Source organism: Homo sapiens, chromosome 15 (genome assembly GCF_000001405.40).
Source record: "Homo sapiens chromosome 15, GRCh38.p14 Primary Assembly".
Lineage (NCBI taxonomy): Eukaryota > Metazoa > Chordata > Mammalia > Primates > Hominidae > Homo > Homo sapiens.
The window spans coordinates 82,936,722-82,958,663 of NC_000015.10; the positions used below are offsets into that span (position 1 = coordinate 82,936,722).

General features: G+C 47.5%; 1 protein-coding gene and 1 long non-coding RNA gene across 14 annotated transcripts in view, besides 1 other annotated feature; one reads left to right on the forward strand and one right to left on the reverse strand.

Annotated features, from left to right (window-relative positions):
* LOC105370928 (uncharacterized) overlaps nucleotides 1–5,252 on the forward strand; it is a 49,172-nt gene extending 43,920 nt beyond the window's left edge. The window contains exon 5 of the long non-coding RNA XR_007064741.1: nucleotides 5,180–5,252. This is a non-coding gene — a long non-coding RNA (uncharacterized LOC105370928). The remainder of the gene's footprint in view (nucleotides 1–5,179) is intronic.
* HOMER2 (homer scaffold protein 2) overlaps nucleotides 1–21,942 on the reverse strand; it is a 151,497-nt gene that overhangs the window by 102,061 nt on the left and 27,494 nt on the right. For 5 of the 13 annotated variants that reach the window (XM_047433359.1, XM_047433358.1, XM_047433355.1 and 2 more), the window contains exon 1: nucleotides 15,810–15,999. The exons of 4 other annotated variants lie outside the window; for them this stretch is intronic. In XM_047433359.1, coding sequence (XP_047289315.1) covers nucleotides 15,810–15,814 — 5 coding nt within the window. In that variant the 5' untranslated portion in view covers nucleotides 15,815–15,999. 4 more of the 13 variants (XM_047433356.1, XM_011522232.3, XM_047433357.1 and 1 more) reach the window with 1 other exon arrangement.
* Nucleotides 15,249–15,749: an enhancer, noted in NCBI's record as "H3K27ac hESC enhancer chr15:83620722-83621222 (GRCh37/hg19 assembly coordinates)". NCBI's record gives its function as "activates a minimal SCP1, AML or CMV promoter by ChIP-STARR-seq in naive H9 embryonic stem cells {active_cell/tissue: H9 hESC(naive)}" and the evidence as "EXISTENCE:reporter gene assay evidence [ECO:0000049][PMID:30033119]".

Genomic DNA, 21,942 nt, shown 5'->3' on the forward strand with positions numbered 1-21,942 from the left:
GCCACCATGCCTAGCTAATTTTTGTATTTTTTTTTTTTTGAGATGGGGTTTCTCCATGAACTCCTGAGCTCAAGTGATCTGCCTGCCTCTGCCTCCCAAAGTGTGTGAGGTGTGAGCCACCATGCCTGGCCAGCTCTCCTATTTCTATTAGACAGAGCTGGTCTGGAAGGCAAGGGTGGGGGAGTCACAGATTATAACAGATTATAACTTCATATTATAATTAAATGTTTTATGTGCTAAACAATATAGAGGGGCCTGGACCAAAAATATTCAGGGTACACACAAGACTATTAGGTTGGGTTAGGTTATAGCAGGCTTGAAATATCCAAGTAATGAGGATGAAGTCATGAATCATCACTACTTAGCTCATGTCAAATATCCATGACATGTGCACATTTGAAGGCCAACACTGGGATGACAGAGGATGTGTTTCAACATAGTCATACAGCAAATATCCTGCTGCCCCTCCCAACGCCAATGGGTTCCCAGGCCACTGTGAATGACATACAGTCTAGACATTCTTCTCTGCATAAGACTTCATGCTCTCACCTTCAGCTTTCCCCTTCTCAAACTTAGTGAATGAGACTCAGTGACAGAAACTTGGATTTTGTTATGGTTTGGTTTCTCTGACTCTGGGCTGCTGCTGGACTGAGTGGGCTGAGGGACAGTGATGTGCAGAAGCAATCAGCCCATATTCCCTGAGTTCCATGAGACACACGTTAAGTCAGAGAGTTGGGAGGGACACAGATAAGCTGCCCTCACACTGCCTCTGCCCTCCAGGTCAGCACATTAATGTTCGTTCCCTCCAAGACATTATCCGCTCCCATGGAGCAAGAAAATCCACTTCTCACAGAGGTTAATAAACTTACAGATCTCATTACTCAAAGAGGTCATGCTGGTGAGAATTTTAATGCATTTTTCAGAAAGGGTCTGGAAGAATTAACAACAGAACAATGACTGGCAACTCAGAGAAGTGAGGGCAAAGAGGTGACCAATGGAGACAGAGCAGGCTCCCCCTCCTCCCACATGGTGTGCCCAGGGCTGTGGATGGCAAAGCACTCCGAGTCCGATCAGGGTGGCTGTCCCTGTGCACCCACCTTCTGGGTCTGGGACTGCTTGCATCTGTTCTTACTCCCTGGTTGCTTGGCATGTTGGCACACCATCTACCAGTGGCCACTGGCAGCTTTACAAAGTCACAGTCTTCAATCTTCAACCGGTCCCTGAAGGCTGTTCTCTAGTCAGTATTTGCTTCAGCTCACTCCTCGCCCCAACCCTACAACCAGCTTTATCAACCCATTTTCCTTCTTGATCTACCCTCCGGTTCTCAGATCAATCCCTTATCTCACACAGAGAAGAAAATGCCAGCTCAGCTGGGCATGGTGGCTCATGCCTGTAATCCCAGCACTTTGGGAGGCTGAGGTGGGTGGATCACCTGAAGTCAGGAGTTTGAGACCAGCCTGGCCAACATGGCGAAACCCCGTCTCTACTGAAAAAACACAAAAATTAACCGGGCGTGGTGGTACACACCTGTAATCCCAGCTACTCAGGAGGCTGAGACAGGAGAATTGCTTGAACCCAGGAGGCAGAGGTTGCAGTAAGTTGAGATCGCGCCACTGCACTCCAGCCTGGGCGACAGAGCAAGACACCGTCCCCCGCAAAAAAAGAAAATGCCAGCTGATCAAGCTCCTATGCCCCTCTTCTGGCCACAGCCTCAAAATGCCTCTATACCTGCACCTTGCCTGGTCTCTGAGGACGATGCACTCCTCTTCAGGTCTTCCTCTAGTTGCCGCCTGCCTCCAACCTTACTGCCTCTCATCCTTCTCTAAGATATTCAATCTCCCCTTTTCTTTACCCTCAGACTCCCAACATCCTCAACTTATGAAACAAACATCAATGGTCCTTCTACCCTGACTCACTTTCAAGCTACCTTCATCATCAGCTAGACTTCTCCACCCGCTCCTCACATACTCACTTATTAAATGCATTTTGCCTGCAAATGGATTTGTGTTTTCACATTTGGCTGAGGCTGCTCTCAAACTCCCTCAGTGCCCTAACACTCCCACTCCCACAGGGAGTCTCAGTCTCAGTCTCCCGCCTCCTCTAAGCTTTCTGAGGCCTCTGACCCTGTTGAAGATGCTCCCCTTTTCAGCCTCCTCTCCCCTGGCTTCTGCAACCCCTCTCTCCTCCAGCCTTCCTCTGAGTCTCATCACCTCTCAGGCTCATTCACCGGCTTCTTTTCCTTCCCTCCAGTTGCAGGCCTTGGCCAGAGTTCCATCTTTATCCTTCTTGACTTTCTTTCTCCTTAGAAGGTCAAATCCATCTTAGAGGTGATGGCTCCCAAATCTGTATCTCTGACTCTATCTGAACTGTTGAGTGTTAGAGCTGAATTTATACTTGCTATGGATAGCCTGGACAAGTGAAAAGTCACCATATCCGCCCAAAACTAAACTCTCATTTTCCCCAAAAGAACTGCATCTCCTCTTACGTTCCCAATCTCAGTCAACATCACCACTATCAGCCGCACAGCCTAGAAACATACACGTCAATGGTAATTCAGCCTCTTGCATTCTCTCATCCTAACAACCAAGAGTGGAGTCCATCCACCACATGACTCTCATGGGAGCTTTGGTCTCCAGAAAGTGCATCTTAAGAACAGGAATTTTGGCCGGGCACGGTGGCTCACGCCTGTAATCCCAGCACTTTGGGAGGGCAAGGTGGGCGGATCACTTGTGGCTAGAAGTTCGAGACCAGCCTGGCCAACATGGCAAAACCCCGTCTCTACTAAAAATACAAAAAAAATTAGCCAGGTGTCGTGGTGCAAACCTGTAGTCCCAACTACTTGGGGGGCTGAGGCAGGAAGATCGCTTGAACCTGGGAGGCAGAGGTTTCAGTGAGCCGAGACTGCACCACTGCACTGCAGCCTGGGTGAAAGAGCAAGACTCTATCTCAACAACAACAAAAAAAAGAACATGAATTTTGCTCTCAGATATGCTCAAGCTTGGTTTCCAACTCTGCCATGTCCTGACTGACAGCTTTGGTAGGCTACTGAATCTCTTAAGCCCAGTCTCTTCAACTGTGAAAATGGGGAGGTTGTCCAAATGTCCATCAATGATAGACTGGACTAAGAAAATGTGGCACATATACACCATGGAATACTACGCAGCAATAAAAAAGGATGAGTTCATGTCCTTTGTAGGGACATGAATGAAGCTAAAAACCATCATTCTGAGCAAACTGTCGCAAGGACAGAAAACCAAACACCGCATGTTCTCACTCATAAGTGGGAATTGAACAATGAGAACACCTGGAGACAGGGTGGGGAACATCACACACCGAGGCCTGTCGTGGGGTCGGGGGAGTGGGGAGGGAATAGCATTAGGAGATATACCTAATGTAAATGACGAGTTAATGGGTGCAGCACACCAACATGGCACATGTATACATATGTAACAAAGCTGCACATTGTGCACATGTACCCTAGAACTTAAAGTATAATAAAAAAAAGAAAAAGAAAATGGGGAGGTTGTTGTGAGAGTTAAATGAGATATTGCATAGACAGCACTCTGCATAGTGACTCCAACCTACCAAGTTCTCATTAAATGATAGCTTAATTGTGTCCTCATTTAACAACTATATATGAAAGACCTGCAAGGCGGGAGGATTGCTCAGGAGATCAAGACCAGCCTGAGCAACATAGTGCAACCCTATCTCTACAAAACATAAAAAATTAGCTGTGCATGGGCTGGGCGTGGTGGGTCACGCCTGTAATCCCAGCACTTTGGGAGGCCAAGGCGGGCGGATCACGAGGTCAGGAGATCGAGACCATCCTGGCTAACACAGTGAAACCCCATCTCTACTAAAAATACAAAAAATTAGCCTGGTGCCTGGCTGGTGCCTGTAGTCCCAGCTACTCAGGAGGCTGAGGCAGGAGAATGGCGTGAACCTGAGAGGTGGAGCTTGCAGTGAGCTGAGATGCACTCTAGCCTGGGTGACAGAAGGAGACTCTGTCTTAAAAAAAAAAATTAGCTGTGTATGGTGGCATGTGCCTGCGGCCCCAGCTACTCAGGAGGTTGAGGTGGGAGGATCGCTTGTGCCCAGAGGTTGAGGCTGCAGTGAGCTATGATTGCACTGCACTGGAGTGTACTCCCTGAGTGACAGAGCAAGACCCTGTTCCAAAAAAAAAAAAATCTAACTCTCACCCCCAGTGAGAAGTCTGGAATCTTCCATATGTTTTCCTCTTTTACAGTATTACATATAACCCTAGAAGCTGCCTCAGATCCATTACAGAGCAAGGCAAGGTTTACATTATATAAATCTGCTATATCAGCTTTCTCTCTCTATCCCTTCAGTTCTTGCCTGGAGTGTGACCAGTTCCTATGAGGTCTCTTTCCTTCCAATCTCCATACTACCCTTCATTACTATCTCTAAAATAATTTTCCTGGCTGGGTACAGTGGCTCACACCTGTAATCCCAGCACTTTGGGAGGCCGAAGCAGGCAGATCACTTCAGATCAGGAGTTCAAGACCAGCCTGACCAACATGATGAAACCCCCTCTATACTAAAAATACAAAAATTAGCCGGTTGTGGTGGTACACACCTGTAATCCCAGCTACTCGGGAGGCTGAGGCGCAAGAATCGCTTGAACCGGGAGGCAGAGGCTGCGGTGAGCCAAGTTCACACCACTGCACTCTAGCCTGGGCGACAGAGTGAGAGTCTGTCTCAAAAAAAAAAAAAAAAAAAAAAAAATCCTAAAACAAGCATTATTCTTCTCTTCAAAACTGAAAATGTTCCCTTACTGCCTACAGACTGAAGTCCATACAGTATAGTGCGCTCCTGCCACCCACCCCAAGTCACCTCTTCCTCTCCAAGCCCACTGCTTGATGCCCAGGTCAGGCCTCATTCTTCAACACCAGGACAAGCTGCTCCCCTGACCTCCAGCCTCACCTATGGCTGGCTCCCTGCCACTCACAGGATTAACTCCCAACACCTTAGCCCAAAGCTCTCTCCTTCATGCCTATACCTTCCCAAGCCTTTCTCCACATTCACCTTCTACTCCACATTCTTTTCCATCTCCATGCCTATTATTAATAGCTAATGTAAATCAACATGTGTGTTTCATTCAATCCTTACAACAACCCTACAACATTGGTATAATACTATTATTATTCTCATTTCACAGATGAAGAAATGGAAGCTCAAAGAAGGTCAGCACATTGCTCCAGTCACACAGGCAGTGAATGGCCAGGCAAAGACTGGGTCCAAGGTCCCTGTTCTTGACCCGCATACTTCACTACTTCCCTTAGGCAACACTCTCTGCCTAAATGCCCTGTTCCTCATTTTGTCTGCCTGAGAAACCCCTCTTTATCCTTCAAGATTTAGCTTGGATGTCACCTCCTTCAGGAAGCCTTCTCTAACTTCGTACAGAGTTAAGCATCTATCTACGTTCATATTTCAATAACAGGCTTATTTCATTGCCCTAATTACCTGCTCACCAGCCATCTCCCTCAGGAAGGCAGGGACTCTGTCTTACGACCTGTCTTCCTGGTGTCTAGCCCAGAGAAGGTACTCAACATTCAGGTGATGGTCATTGGCCAAAGGATCAAGAAAGGTAAAAGAGCTGACGAACTGATGAAGGGTGATCAGAAAGGAATTCAGATCCATACGAGTAAGGATGGGAGTCCAGAGACATACAGGGACCCTGAAACTACTGACTAGTCCACATGGCCCCTGGTACAACATCCTCCAATGCCCATCCATTGGGCAGTGTTTACGTGATGTCCAACTTCTCCACTAGCCTGTAAGCATCCTAGAGCCACCGATGTCCATCACTGTGTTCCGAGCACCCACGACAATGCCTGACACAGGTAGGTCACTGCTGAATGAATGAGCGAATGCATATACAAATAATCAATGAGGAGCTCCCTGACCAGCAACACAAATCCCTAGTCTGATGCCACAATGGGGAGAAACCACTTAACTTTGTCCACACTTGCACCTCCCTGTAAAAGCAACGAGTTGGCAGACCGGTTTTCTTGTTGATATACATGGGTCAGCTCATTCTCCCGGCCTTCCCGATCCTCTGGCTGGCGACATTCCTCCACCCACACCACCTGAGAGGCTTAGCAATATGAGGCAACATTTCACAGGGTAAGCCTCGGATTGCCTGAGTCACCTGATGACTGGAAGCCAACTCTGGCACTGCTCAGGACTGGGAGCAGAGTGACTGGGTCGTCTGGAAGGCAGCCACACAGTGGCTGAAGACTCAGAGAGTGCCCAAGGGGATTAAGGATGAGGGAATGGAAGCACATGTCATCCCCAACCACCTAACTCCAGACGGTGCCCAAAGGGCCAACTTCCCACCCAAAGAAGAAATGATGGCAGTGGTAATGATAATGATGATAAACTTGGCCATCATTTACTATTTATGTGTCCGGCATTGTGCTAAATGCTCTATACACATTTTCTATTTAATCACCTCAATCATTTAATAGATGAGGACAGTAAAGCTTAGAGAGAGAAAATATGTCATCTAAGCTCACACAGCCAGTGAGGGTGAGGAGGGCTGGGGCTTGAGCTGTATGTGCTTAACCAGCCTTCCCAGCTCCCACAACCAACGGTGCTCCATGACAATGCAGCTGAGACAGCTGAGTCTACGCTCAGTCCACTTGGAGGAGTTAGAGAGCTCTTCCTCATACCAAGTGAGCTGAAATATGTCTTGATGCCACCTCCACTGGGAGCTCCTTTTCCTTGTCTTTGGAGCATCCTGGAAGAGGCTCCATTCCTTTTCCCCATGAGGACTCTCTCTGTCACCAGCTCCCACAGGACACAAGCTAAAACAACTCTTCGTTTTTCCATTTATCTAAAAACTCCAATTAAAAGCTTTCCCAATTAGAGATCCCAAAAAGGATCCATTGCCCAGGCAGTGGGGTCTGCAATATTCCTCACTCATCAGGTCCCTGTGGATACCGCCCACCCCATAACCCACAGACAAGATTACCCGCAGAACAAAAGGAGGACTAAAGGCAGACTGGACTTGGCCTGCCCCTCACTGGTGATCTGGACAGAGATTTCCCCAGGCAGGGCAAAGAAAGGGGCCTCCTAGAGCCCCTGCATAGCTGGGACCCGCCCTCACTTCGGCCCTCCTTTGACTGGGAGCCACTTGTGTACTCAAGAGCTTCTTTTTAATACACGGCTCTCACCCTGACTCCTCTGGCTAGTGGCAAAGCCTCATCCTAAGCTTGTCTGCACAGGGGTGGGGACTCTACCATCTCCAATTCCTCAGAGGAATAATAATAAGACTATCAACCAGGCTTATGAATAAAAATTTTTTTTTTAAATCTCTCTAGTCTTTGACAAATGTCTAAATGTGTTCCCCACAAGCATATTTTTATTCTAACAAGCTAATTTGAAATATAATTTAAATAAATTCTACCAGAATGATACCATATGACTAACAGCACCCCGGTGGCAGAACTACTGGAGTCTTCATCATGCATTCAGAGGCTCCCATCCTGCCGTTCTTCCCACACAAAACGCACCCCGCTAGGAAACTGGATCATGATGCCAGCTCTCACCTCCAAACCTATAAATACGACTTGGGGGCAGTCTGTGTGCACAATACCTAGAAAATGCAGACACATAACAAGCAGTGCTTAAAAGACCAGTGGATCAAAACCAATGCAAATTAGAAGCTTTATGCCCCAATTCCTCACAATGCTTCTTTTTGCTCAATTTATTTTCACCCTGGGGGGAAAAAACAAAGTCTAACTCTCAAGATCTATAAAGTCAGGACTTGATACACCACAGATTTCTAACATTCAGAAAAATGCCTTTTCTCTATTGTAAATATGCTATTTGACTGCTGTTCACGTTTGACAAAGGTGAAGAAGGTTTTTCTTGTCAAATGGAAAAGGGGTCCCTGCCCTCAGCCCCACCCCGTGTATCAAAGAGAAGTTCTTTATCCAAAGGTTTTAGATGTTTGTGCAGGCTGTGGTGACATTTCAGTGGATTTGCCCACGGTTTTTTTTTTTTAAATTTTTAATTTCCCTTCATACTAAAACAGGAAATATAATGTCCTTCCTTTTGTATACATCCCTGCCAACTGGCTCACTGGGGGAATTCTCTTTGAAGGAGGGGGTGTGATATACACCAAAGAACCTTCAAAGCAGAAGGGGGCCTTCGAGGTATGGGCATGGGTGCTTCCTGCTTGCAAAGAGCCTTCTCATCCAAGTCTTAAAGCAGAATTACTCGGCCCTGATATTTCCAAACAAGGAGAAACAATTTGAGCAGCTGGGTCTCGGTCCACCAACCAACCTTAGCAACAACGATGAATCCTTGATGTTCTTACCAAGATTCACTAAGGAGCCGTGACTCACCCAAATGACACAGGCACTGCAAATTACCCAATGTTAATTGTGATCTTGGTCTCCTCTACCATTTCTTTCCTTCAGTAATTCATTTAAAGCAAACAACTGCTTTAAGAAATTGTTAAAATGTCTTAAAAAAAAAAAAAAAAAGAGCCTGTCTTGTTCCAGAAAGGATTTAAATAGGTTTACAAAGATGTATAAGATTTAGCAAAATGACAAATTAGAAGTAGGTGTGGATTTAAATGATGAGGTATTTTTATAGTTATTGGCATGTAAAGATGTCCACTCAAGATATTTTAAGTTGGAAAAATTATGTTACAAGACAGATGTATAAAATGATTGCATTTTGTTAAAAATAGACTTGCTCTATGTAGACATACATCTAGACACACACAGACATATATACATGGAAAAAAGTACAAAGGCAGACATTGAAATGCTGATGGAGGTTATCCCTAAGACGTGGGATGACAAGTAATTTTCACTTCCTTCTTTATGCTGTTATTTTTCAGTATAAACATGTAGTTTTTTTATAATTAGAAAAAAGCAAAGCTATTTTCCTTTTGTTAAAAAAAAAAGAAAAAGAAAAAAAGTGGTAGATGGCCGGGCGCGGTGGCTGACGCCTGTAATCCCAACATTTTGGGAGGCCAAGGCGGGCAAATCACGAGGTCAGGAGATCGAGACCATCCTGGCTAACAAGGTGAAATCCCATCTCTACTAAAAATACAAAAAATTAGCCGGGTGTGGTGGCAGGCGCCTGTAGTCCCAGCTACTCGGGAGGCTAAGGTAGGAGAATCGCTTGAACCCAAGAGGCGGAGGTTGCAGTGAGCCGAAATCGCACCACTGCACTCCAGCATGGGCAACAGAGTGAGACTCTGTCTCAAAAACATTAAAAAAAAAAAGTGGTAGATGATAAAGGGTAAAGACAAAACAAGGGTAGGGCCATCACACTGAGCTAGAAATAAAGGTAATGGATGAAGTCTGATAAATCTGCTAAGGGTCACCACACATTTAACTCTAAGTTCCTCAGGAGCCATTCCAGAAAAGAAACCTAATAATTTACACAAATCACTGAGTCTATTCGACAAAAATAAACCATGTGCTCTGCTCAGCGTCCCGCTTCAGCAGAATTACTTGGCCCTGATATTTCCAGCGAACTGTGCGAGCAGCAAACATGCCTTTATTCTTTCCTAACAACACTTGGACCAGAAACTTCAGGGCAGTTTCCAACGAGAATGATGGCATCTTCCCAAAGTAAAAGTCAACCCAAAGACTGGTCTGGCCATTGCTACCTCCCTGACCTCTTCACCTTCGTGCTCTCTCTGGCTCACTCTGCTCCAGCCATACTAGCTTCCTTACTATTTCTTGAACAAGCCAGGCATGCCCCTGCCTCAGGGCCTTTACACCTGCTGTTCGCACTATTCACACTGCCAGGAACACTTCCCTCAGACACCTCCATGGCTCACTCTCCTCCTTCTTTCAGCTCTTTAATGCCTCCTTCTCAGTGAAGTCTTCTAACTGGATCCCCATCTAAAATCTCTATCCTACTGCAACATCCTCTAGTCCCCTTCCTTATCCTATTGCTATGTAATAAACTGTGTATTTTATTAAAAAAACAAAAACAAAGAAAGTCAACCAAAAGAGAATATTCATTCACACCTATTTACACACTCATTCAATATCTACTTATTTAGTGCCTACTCCATTCCAAATTCTGTGTATTCTTCCAGTTCGGATACTAAGAGGGATGGCTGTGTAACCATCAGTGTACCACAGCATCTGTCCTCCCCACAATGTACCACGGCATCTTTCCTCAATTCCCCAAATAGATGGGCACCCCTCCACCACCACCTGTGATACCCAAAGGACTATAACATTGTGTTTACTCTCACAGCATTTCACATATAAAGCTGGTACTTGTGTATGTAGTTTATCTCCCTTTTCAAAATATAAGCTCCCCAAGGGCAGGAACTAACTAGTGGGTCTGCTCATCTCTGGATCCCTACAGCACTTGCCAACTGCCTTACCAATGTACAGACTGAAGGAATATTAGAAAGTGAAGTTTAACAAACCCACAGGACCAAGAGAAGACAAACTCACCTCAACATATCTGAAAGACTGTATCTATTGCAGTCAACTCAAACCCCAAAGAACAGCCCTATAATTTGTTGGAACTACAGAGTCTGGTGTGATTCAGAGGGAATGGAAAATTAAAGAAGGAATGAATGAACATCAAAAGAAAGTAAATCGGTATAGAGTACCAAAAGGCAGCCTGAGGTGTTAGATAACCAAGATTGTGGCACCTGTACATGGCAAGGTAATCTTGGCTGAACAAAATAAGTGAGTGTAAAATGAAGCCAAACAGTAATACAGTAGATCTTATTTGTAAACACTGACAAAATCAGCTAAAAGTCACAACAGTAGACAAGCTGGCTTTTCTGTTAGTCTTTTGCAGGAGAGTAAAAAGGTAATTTACAACTCCAGTACTCAAATGACAGCAGACGGCCCGAAAATTAACCCACATCACAATGAAAGCTAAATGGCTTGCTTTAATGTTAAAAGAAAGCTGCATCCAAATGTGATCTCTTTCTCTCTTGGCCCTTGCAACTCCCAATTAAGCAAGCTATATAAAAGTTAACCCAAAAATTATCACAGCTTCCAGGCCAGCATCCAAGCAAGGCTGCCCACAACATTCAAGCATTAACTCAATTAAAAATTATTTACTGGAGGCCTATTTGGTGCCAGGCACTGTGCTAGGTGTTGGAATACACTGGTGAAAAAGATAAGGTCCTATCCTTTTGGGATGCTACTGGGGGAAGACGGATTATAAATAAGTAAATAACACCTGCATGCTTACTGGCATGCTGTGGTGAGCAATTATAGGAAACAAAGGTAGGGCTGGGGCCCAGCACTTTGGGAGGCTGAGGTGGGCAGATCATTTGAGGCCAAGGGTTCAAGACCAGCCAGGCCAACATGGTAAAACCCCATCTCTACTAAAAATACAAAAGAATTAGCTGGGTGTGGCCGGGCATGGTGGCTGATGCCTGTAATCCCAGCACTTTGGGAGGCCGGGGCAGGCGAATCATGAGGTCAGGAGATTGAGATCATCCTGGCTAACACGATGAAACCCCGTCTCTACTAAAAATACAAAAAATTAGCTGGGCGTGGTGGCGGGCGCCTGTAGTCCCAGCTATTCGGGAGGCTGAGGCAGGAGAATGGCGTGAACCCGGGAGGCGGAGCTTGCAGTGAGCCAAGATCGCGCCACTGCACTCCAGCCTGGGCGACAGACAGAGACTCCATCTCAAAAAAAAAAAAAAAAAAAAGAATTAGCTGGGTGTGATGGCACATGCCTATAATACCAGCTACTCAGGAAGCTGAGGCATGAGAATCGCTTGAACCTGGGAGGCAGAGGTTGCAGTGAGCAGAGACCGTGCCACTGCACTCCTGCCTGGGTGACAGAGGGAGACTCTGTCTCAACAAAAGAAAAAAGAAAAGGGGCTGGGTTAGATAGTTCTGGAGGTGGGTGCTCTAGACAGGATGGCAGGAAAGACCCTGAAGGGGTGACCCTGAGGCCAAAGTCTGAAAGGAAAGAGGAAGGTAAGAGAATTCCAGGCAGGGGAAACAGCAAGTGCAAGGATCTCAGGTAAGGCAAGAAAAGGAAAGGAGATCTATGTTAGCAGAACACAGTGAGGGGCACAGCAGCATGGCAGGGGGAGCTGCGCCCAGCGCCTGGTCAGTGGGAGGTATTTAAAAAGGGGAATGACATGATCTGATTTATGATTTTAAAAGCTGGTCACTTAGGCTTCTGTGTGAAAAATGGACTGCAGACAACCCAGAGTGGATACTGGGGGGCCTGTTAGGAAAGAGGTGATGGTGGCTAGAGTGGGAACTATGGCTATGGGGTGAGGTGAATGCACTCCAGATATATCCCGGAAGTAGAATGCACAGGACAAACTGATAGCCTGCATGTGAGAGGTTGGGAAGAGGACTCAAACATGACTCTTGGCAAATGAGTGCATGGTAGGGCCACTGACTTGGATGGGGAAGACGGAAGGCAGGTGAGAGCTGGAAGGCATATCAAGAGCTCCATGTATTGACGAGAGTCAGAAGCTCCAAGAAAGATCTGAGCTAGAAATTAAAGTGTGGGCATCATGGGCATATCGATGGCATTTGAAGCCATGGGAGGGTGGGGAGGAGTTGCAGGTGGGACAGTATTACCTAGGAAGACAGTGTGGACAGAGAAAAGGAACCAGGACCAGTCCCTGGGCAACCCCATGATTAGGAGTAAGAAGAAAAGCAGGAAACAGTGGGGCCAGAGGAGCTGAGAGGGGTGTTGTTTTGAGGAGAGGGAGTGGTCATTTGTTAGGAATGCTGCTGAGAGAGGTGAAGTGAGGTGAGGCTGAGATCTGGCAACCCCCTGGTCACCCAAGACCCTGGCAGTTTTGGTGCAGAGGTGAGGCAGAAGCAAGACTGTAGAGTATGGAGAGTGAACAAATGGCAGGAGAAAGTGAATGGAGCCAGTGGGTTTGGATGTATCTTCTGAGGTGTTTTCAGGTGAAGAAGAGCAAAGAAGTGAAACAGGAGAGGGATGTAGGAGGGAGGGAGATCTCCTTTTTAAGATGAGAGCAACTAAAGCTATGCTATCCAATATGGTGGCCACTAGCTACATGTGGCTATTTAAATTTAGATTAAGTTAAAAATTCAGGTCCTCAGTCTCAACAACCACATTTCAAGTGTCCAATAACCACATGTGCTGGTGGCTGCCACGCAGATACAGAACATTTCCAGCAGTGCAGAAAGTTCTGTTGGTCAGATGTATGCTCCTATACTGATGGAGAAGACCCCGGAGAGAAAGGTGGTTAGGAAGGAGAGACAATCTCTGAAAAGATGGGAGGAGGAAGGGATGGAATGGAGGCTACCCCAGAAGAAGGGGCCCCTAGTAGGAAGAGATGAGGGACAGGTCATCCAGCACAGCAGGCAGGTAGGAGAAGGTAGCAGCAGCTGCATACTAGACTAGGTGGTGGCAAAATGAAGACATTCCCTTGGTCAAAGGTGCCTATCTTGTCAATTGAAAGGGAAGCCACGGGGTGTGCCTAGGAAGGGGAGAGGTCTGGAAAGGGGAATAGGTATGAAATAGTTGCCTTAGGGAGTAAGAACACAAACTCACTGGAGAGGCCACACTTAACACAGAACACTTCGCAGAAGAGAAGTGGAAAATGGTAGTGAACATTTGAGGGAGGAGAAGCATCTCAAGTTGGGGGGAGGTAAACTCAGATAGTTTGTTTTTTTTTCCCTTAAATCCTAGTCCTGTCTACACAGCAGAGCCATGACGAAGCTGTAGGATCGCAGCAAGGTTTTCTACTAGCTGCCCTTTCAAAAAGTTCTTCCCCCTCCATCCTACACAACTCTCAGAAAGGATGACATTGGTTCTATTTTCAGTTAAAACGGCTCCCTCCACCCTCCTGTCTGAATTGCTTCCCCAGCCCTTAGCTGCATCTCAATTTACGACCATGGCTTGTATTTTCACATAAATAATAGAAGACATGGATCTATTAAAAATGGCAGAGGTAGGTAGGAGTTACAAACCAGCCTTTATCTACGAGAAGTGAGTAATATATACATTTATCGAATGATGTTAAAATTACATGAAAGACATATTCTGTGTTTAAACAAAATCCCCAAGCGTCTCCTCCCTGCTTCTCCACAAACAAAAATTATTTTTTGACATTTTCTTTAAGGTTTTATGAGTGAGTAAACATTTTCATTTCCACAGAACTATTTGATCTCAACCACAGAGTTTCAGTACTTGTTTTTGATCACACAAGTACGGTGGATTGGTTTTGTGTTGGCCAGGGGGAGGGAGGGCCAGAAAGAGAGTTAAAATTACCGGATCCCTTTTATCTTCCATTCTGAGACCTTACATTTGCCAACTCCTTTTTCCCTGTACATTTTTTTAAAGTATGAAATCTGAGAACCTCAAAGGCTCTCACTGCTCAAAGATCAGCCTTTTCACAGTCCACTGAGGACTCACTGGAAATGTTACAGAAATACGGCCTGCCAACTTGGGTGCCTCTGGGTAAAATCACCCACAGTTGCTGTTCATGTGAAATCTCCTAAATGTAAGCACACTTCTTCAGCCCTCGCTGCTCATCTCGCCTCCTCCTCTCTGTCACCCACCTCTGTCATGTCCAGTTCATGTTGGCCCACAGCCCTCACACTTCCATTCCTCAAAATTCCTCTTGGCCTGCCTCTGATCCCCTCACACACTCTGCAGCTCCCATGGCTAAGACTCACCAGGCAAAATGACTCCAGAAACTTAACCTGGAGTACGGTGCAAGAAAGCCACTGACCCAGGGGGGCTGAGCCAGGGCACCAGGACAATCTTGCTCCTTCCACTGCACTCTTGCCTTCCCAGGCCCCACCCATCCCAAACAGGAAAGCAAGATCTCTAGACCCTTGGAGCAGAAGCATTTGAGTCCTGCGAAGGGCTGTTGGAAGAATGCTGGGTTCAGCAGCAGGGAACAGAGAGATTTAGGAATTCTGGTTCACTTACCCGCCTCCATGCCCACGTCAGGCAGTGGCAAGGCCACCCCTGCTACACAAATGCTCATCAACTACACAGCCTGGGGGAAGTCACCGAACCACTTTGTGCCTCAGTTTCCTCATCTGTAAAGTGGACATAAGTGTCCCCTGAATACGTATGGCAAACCGTCAACGTGTGCCCAAATAGAGTGAGCAGATGTAAGGAGTTATTGTGCTATTAGCACAGTGGCTCCCAGACTCACAGAGCCTACTGCTCAGAGAGACGCCGAGGGGAAAGCTTAAATTACTTTATATACTCAGAAGCATTAGTCACTTCGACAGAGTATTTCAACTTCCCTCCTGAGCATCTACTCAGTTGTTTCAAAGACTGAAGCCTCACCTAGGTTCCTTATAGACTTCCATCATCTTCAGCATCTCAAAGCAGATCCAAAGTCCACTATTCCTACGCTGGAGGTTTATTATTATTTGATTATTTCCAGGAAAACTTCGATTTCCATTTTGCTTGTAATAAATCCAAACGTGGAGAACGACAAACTGCTTAGACTCACACAGGCCCTGGAGTTGACTGCGCCCAGGGGCGAAGAGACCGCGGAATGGCCGAGGCAGGAGGCCGGCCAGGGCACCGGTCCCCGTCAGGTGCCCCCGTGCCCGGGCTGTATGGGAGGGGAAGGGCCACGGGCTCCGCGCCCAGGCCAGGGTGCCCCTGCTGGGTGTCCGCGTGCCCCGGCGGAGGGCGCGGGTCAGGTGGCCCCAGACTCCCGGGCGCAGAGTGTGCGCTCGCTCCGGCTTGGGGAGGCGGGGGCCGGCCCGCCGGGAGGCTCCGAGCCCGGTTACGCCAGCCGCGGCCCCGCAGTCCCTCCGGAGGGGCGCGCGGAGAGCGCGCGGCGCGGGCTCACTCACCCCATCTCCGGCGCTGCTCCGGCGGCCGCTCCGACGGGGCCTCTCGCGCTCGCTCTCCGCCCGCTCGGCAGCCGCTCCCCGCGCGGCACATGCGGCGGCCCGTGCGCGCCCGGCTCAGCCCCGGCGCCGCTCCATTCCGCGGGGCTGCGCGGCTGCCACTGCTGCCACTGCCGCCACCGCCGCCAGGCGCGGGCGGGCGGGGGCTGGGCGGCCGCGCTGGGGCGGTGCCCGCCCCGCCCTCCCCAGCCGCTACCCCCGCCCGGCTCCTTACGTAACCTCGTGGCCCCCGGGCCGCGGCAGCGAGCCAAGAGGCGGGGGGCGCAGCACTGTGTGCACCGTCCCCCGCGCAGCCGCGCAGTCGCCGCTTTTCTCCCGGGCCACCCAGTCCTCGGTGCCGGCCCCGCGTTGGCGCGCCCCCGCCCCACGCCGACCCGGGGCCCTGGCGCAGTGCCATCAACATCCTGCCTGATGGACTTAAAGTCCCATTCACACCTGGCGGGGACTTTAGGGCTACCTTTACTTTGCAGATAAGGGAACCGAGGCCTGGGGAGGGTAAGTGATTTGCCCAAGGTCACACATTCAGATTAGAGTTCGTTCGGGTCTCCAGAGTCTGAGATGGGCATAGCTGTGCTCCTCCTTAAAGCCCACCTTCATCTTCCTGCCAGTTGCCCGGCCGAGTGGCCTTAAGGTACCCGCCACCGTGAAATTTCGGAAGCCAGCCTGGCAGAGAAGAGCCTACAGGCCGCGGCAGATGCTCTGGGCTCTTTCCTGGATAAAAATGAGATGAGGGCTCCCACTTGAAGGGGCAGTTTTAAGGCGGCTTCATCAAGCTTGGTTTTATCCTTAGAGCGAGGGGAATTAGGATGGCAAAAGTAGAACTTGAAGAAGAGCAGGCTCTCTTCGTCGCCTTTCTACCTATCAGGTCCTGAGTTTCTACCAAAGGCTGGCACTGGGACTAACCTAACCTTCATCCCCCGGGACTTCCACGGGATCATCTTCTGCTGGGAACACACCGCCCACATAAGCCTGGCATCTCAGGACAGTAAAAAAGTCAAGGGACAGGTCGGGCGCGGTGGCTCACGCCTGTAATCCCAGCACTTTGGGAGGCCGAGGCGGGCGAATCACGAGGTCTGGAGATCGAGGCCATCCTGGCTAACACGGTGAAACCCCGTCTCTACTAAAAATACACACACACAAAAAAAATTAGCCGGGCGTGGAGACAGGCGCCTGTAGTCCCAGCTACTCCGGAGGCTGACGCACAAGAATCGCGTGAACCTGGAAGGCGGATCTTGTAGTGAGCCGAGATCGCACCACTGCACTCCAGCCTGGGCAACAGAGCGAGACTCCGTCTCAAAAAATAAATAAATTAATTAATTAAATACATAAATAGCCGGGTGTGGTGGCGTGCTCCTGTAGTCCCAGCTACTCCCAGCTACTCGGGAGGCTTGATGCAGGAGAATCGCTTGAACCCAGGAGGCAGGGGTTGCAGCGAGCCGAGATCATGCCACTGCACTCTAGCCTGGTGAAAAGAGCCAGACTGTCTCAAAAAAATAAATAAATAAATACAAAATAAGTTTGTAAAAAATAAAATAATCTTGGGAGTTTCCAAATCCTCCATGCATAGTAATCAGCAATATCAGGAAAGTGAGCTTGTAGAACACTGAACAAGTCATTTATCAGGTAATACCTGAGGATTCTGAAGTGTTCGAATAACTTCAAAGGCAAGCCACTGAAATCAGAGTTTTTCATTTTTATTTTATTTTTATTATTTTTTTTTTGAGACGGAGTCTCACTCTGCTCACCCAGGCTAGAGTGCAGTGGCAGTGGCGTGATCTCGGCTCACTGCAACCCCCACCTCCCAGATTCAAGCGATTCTACTGCCTCAGCCTCCCCAGTAGCTGCGACTGCAGGCGCATGCCACCACGCCCAGTTTTTTTTTTTTTTTGTATTTTTAGTAGAGACAGGGTTTCACCATGTTTCGATCTCCTGACCTCGTGATCCACCCGCCTCGGCCTCCCAAAGGGCTGGGACTACAGGCATGAGCCACCGTGCCTGGCCGAGTTTTTCATTTTTTTAAACTACAATCCACAGTAAGAAATATATTTTACACTACAACCTGCAACCTGGTACATACTTCAGCACATACATACTATGTCTATAGGTATATCGATATAAAATAGAAACAAAAAGTTATATAAAACAATGTTTATCCTCTCACTTGCCAGGCAGGCATTCAGACATCATTCTGTTTTGTTGTTGTTGTTGTTGAGACAGAGTGTTGCTCTGTCACCAGGCTGGAGTGCAGTGGCATGATCTCAGGGCACCACAACCTCCGCCTCCCAGGTTCAAGCGATTCTCCTGCCTCAGCCTCCCAAGTAGCTGGGACTACAGGCGCGCACCACCACCCCAGCTAATTTTTGTATTTTTAGTAGAGACAGGATTTCACCATGTTGGCCAGGATGGTCTCCATCTCTTGACCTCGTGATCGGCCCACCTCAGCCTCCCAAAGTGCTGGGATTACAGGCGTGTGCCACCGTGCCCGGCCCATTCTGTTCTATTTTTAAAAGCAGTACTGCTCATAACCTACTAAATTGATTTCAAAACCTATAATCTACGTATTTTTACTTTCTTTTTCTTTTTCTTTTTTTTTTTTTTTTGAGACGGAGTCTCACTCTGTTGCCCAGGCTGGAGTGCAGTGGCGCAATCTTGGCTCACTGCAACTTCTGCCTCCTGGGTTCATGCAATTCTCCTGCCTCAGCCTCCCGAGTAGCTGGGGCTACAAGCGCATGCCACCACACCTGGCTACTTTTTTGTAGTTTTAGTAGAGATGGGGTTTCACCATGTTAGCTAGGATGGTCTCGATCTCCAGACCTTGTGATCCGCCTGCCTCGGCCTCCCAAAGTGCTGGGATTATAGGCGTGAGCCACCATGCCCGGCCTGTATTTTTACTTTCAACAGCAAAATTAGGCTCACCATGTACATGCATAATGTTGTTATTAGTGTGCTCAGATTTCTGGTATGGCTGGTCCAGGGACTTCAAACATTTTTTTTTCTAACCATAAAAGGTCAGTTCTTTCAACTGCATATGAAACAAATGTATTATTAAAGCCATTAATTAAAGGGATAACTGTCGGGTATTATGCAGCTATTACATTATATTTGTGAAGCCTATATAGTAACATAGAAATATATTTATTCTTTCAATAAATGTTGATCACCTGCTGTGTATCTGGTACTGTGTTGGGCATAAAGTGCTCAGCAAAACAGACGTCCTTCTGTCATAGGACTATAAGATTGTGTGAATGGTATTAATCAAATAATCACACAAATATATAAGCTACGATCTGTGTGAATAGGAGACCTAATTTAGGTTGAGGAGGATGGTCAGGAATGGCCTGTTGAAGAGACATTTAAAAAGAGGCCTGATGGCTGGGTGTGGTGGCTCATGACTGTAGTCCCAGCACTTTGGGAGGCCAAGGCAGGCAGATCACTTGAGGCCAGGAGTTCAAGACCAGCCTGGCCAACATGGCAAAACCCCATCTTTACTAAAAATACAAAACCTAGCCAGGCATGGTGGTACATGCCTGTAATCCCAGCTAATTAGGAGGCTGAGGCAGGAGAATCACTTGAACTCAGGAGGCAGAGGTTGCAGTGAGCTGAGATTGCATCACTGCACTCCAGCCTGGGTGACAGATTGAGACTCCATCTCAAAAAAAAAAAAAAAAAAGAAGAGGCTTGAAGACAAAGAAGCATCAGTCATGGGGAGCATGAGGGGAGGGTTCCAAGCAGAGGAAACTGCAACGGCCCTGAGGTGGTAGAGAATCATGCTGTTCTGAAGAGCTGGGAGAAGGCCAGTGTGGTTAGAGTGCAGTGAGCTTAGCAAAGCATGGGTGAAGTATGCAGGGCCCTTTGGCTGGATTAAGGATTTGCAATTTATTCAAATGCAGTGAGAACCCACTGATGGGTTGGGGAATGCCGTGATCTGGTTTATATTGTTAAAATATCACTCACTCCTGGGAGAAGAGGGGATAAGAAGGGGACAAGAGTAAAACATGGAGACTGGTTAAGAGGCTCTAGACAAAAGATAAGGGTGGAGATGAAGGGAAGTGGATTACAGATTATAGATATTTTAGAGGTAGACTCAATAAGACTTGGTGGATGGGATGTGTATTAGGATATAAAGTTAAGTTTGTAAAATAATCTGAATTACAGCTGTGCTATGAGTATAATTATGTAAAATTAGAAAATATGGACAAGGCCTGGAGTATAGAAAATGAAAAAGTTTATTAGGATGGCAGAAGGAATATAGGGTAAAGGCATCAGTATTAGACTCAGACCTGCATTAAGTCCTGGATCTACCATTGACTATCTGTGACCACGGGCAAGTTTTTAACTTCTCTGAGCCTCAGCGCTCTAATCTACGAAGTGGCGATATCTCTTTGGACTATTAAGAAGAGTGAATGAGAACAGGTGTGGTGGCACACACCTGTAATCCTAGCACTTTGGGAGGCTGAGCCGGGTAGATCACCTGAGGTCAGGAGTTCAAGACCAGCCTGACCAACATGGTGAAACCCTGTCTCTACTGAAAATATAAAAATTAGCTGGGCATGGTGGCACATGCCTGTAATCCCAGCTACTCGGGAGGCTGAGGCAGGAGAATCACTTGAACCCAGGAGGCAGAGGTTGCAGTGAGCCAAGATACTGTGTCACTGCACTCTAGCACGGGCAACAGAAGTGAGACTCCGTCTCAAAAAAAAAAAAAAACAGAGTGAATGAGATCATATCTGTAAAGTGCTTAGCTCAGTCCCTAGTATAGTACATCTTCAATACATTACAGGTATTATTATTATTATTACTGGCTATAATGGTGGAACTAGGGTGAAATTTTCATTTATTGTGACTGAATTAATATTGTCAAAATGGTTCTTATATAATCAACATTTTAAAATTTAGTACAGTTTGAGGATTCTCAATCTGCCCCCACCATGGAAACAGCTTGTGTACTTCCTGCCAGATAACACTTTGCCAATCTGTATCCAGAGCCCTCCATAGATTCAGGACCCCTCTACAGGGCACCTAAGGATCAGAGAAGACTATGGGCTGTCTCTTTAAGATGACACCAGATCAGTATGGGACCACCAGCCCTAGCCCCTGCTGTTTCCAATCAGGCCAAGGGCCTGCCCTTAGGAAGGTGAGCTATAAACGATTTCCAACAGTCCCATCTGTCCTCTGCCTCTCCCATCCAGGGCTCTCCTAAGTCTATGTGTCCTGGATGCCTCCAGAGATTTTGATAGCATCTACCCATTTTTCTTTATTTATTTATTTAAGACGGAGTCTCACACTGTCACCCAGGCTGGAGTGCAGTGGCGCGACCTCCACTCACTGCAACCTCTGCCTCCCGGGTTCAAGCGATTCTTCTGCCTCAGCCTCCCAAGTAGCTCGGATTAGAGGCATGCGCCACCATGCCCGGCTACTTTTTTGTATTTTTAGTAGAGACGGGGTTTCACCATGTTGGCCAGGCTGGTCTCGAACTCCTGACCTCATGATCCGCCTGCCTCGGCCTCCCAAAGTGCTGGAATTATAGGCGTGAGCCACCGAGCCCGGCCTACCCATTTATTTAATCTTAACTGAGCACCTATTTTGAGCCAGTCTGTGTCCTTAAACAATAAGCTAAATATAATGTAACCGAGGTATGAATAAGGTAGTTCCTGCAGAAGACTTCAAAAAGGGGATGTGTGAGTTGGGTCCTCAAGGATGTACAGGAGGGAAGATCATTTCTATGTCCAGCAACGAGACCAGCACATGCTGAGACACGGAGGCATTAAAGGCCATGACTTAAACAGGAAACGACAAGAATGTCCATGTGCTTGGCTCAACAGTGTGGTAGGAAGTGGCCAGGAACAAGAGGTAAGTTGGGACCACTCTGTGAAAGACCTCCGGGTCATGTTAGGAGTTTGGACTTGATTCTGAGGCCTCAGGGAGTTAGTGGAGATTTTGAAGTAGGAGGGTGGCATGATCAGACTTGTGTCTTAGCTTCTCTGGCAGCAGATGGGAGAAGGTTGTGGAAAGGCAGGCTGGAGGCAGGAGAAGCTTGTCAGGAGGATCTTAGCAAGACTCCAAGATTGGGGAAGGA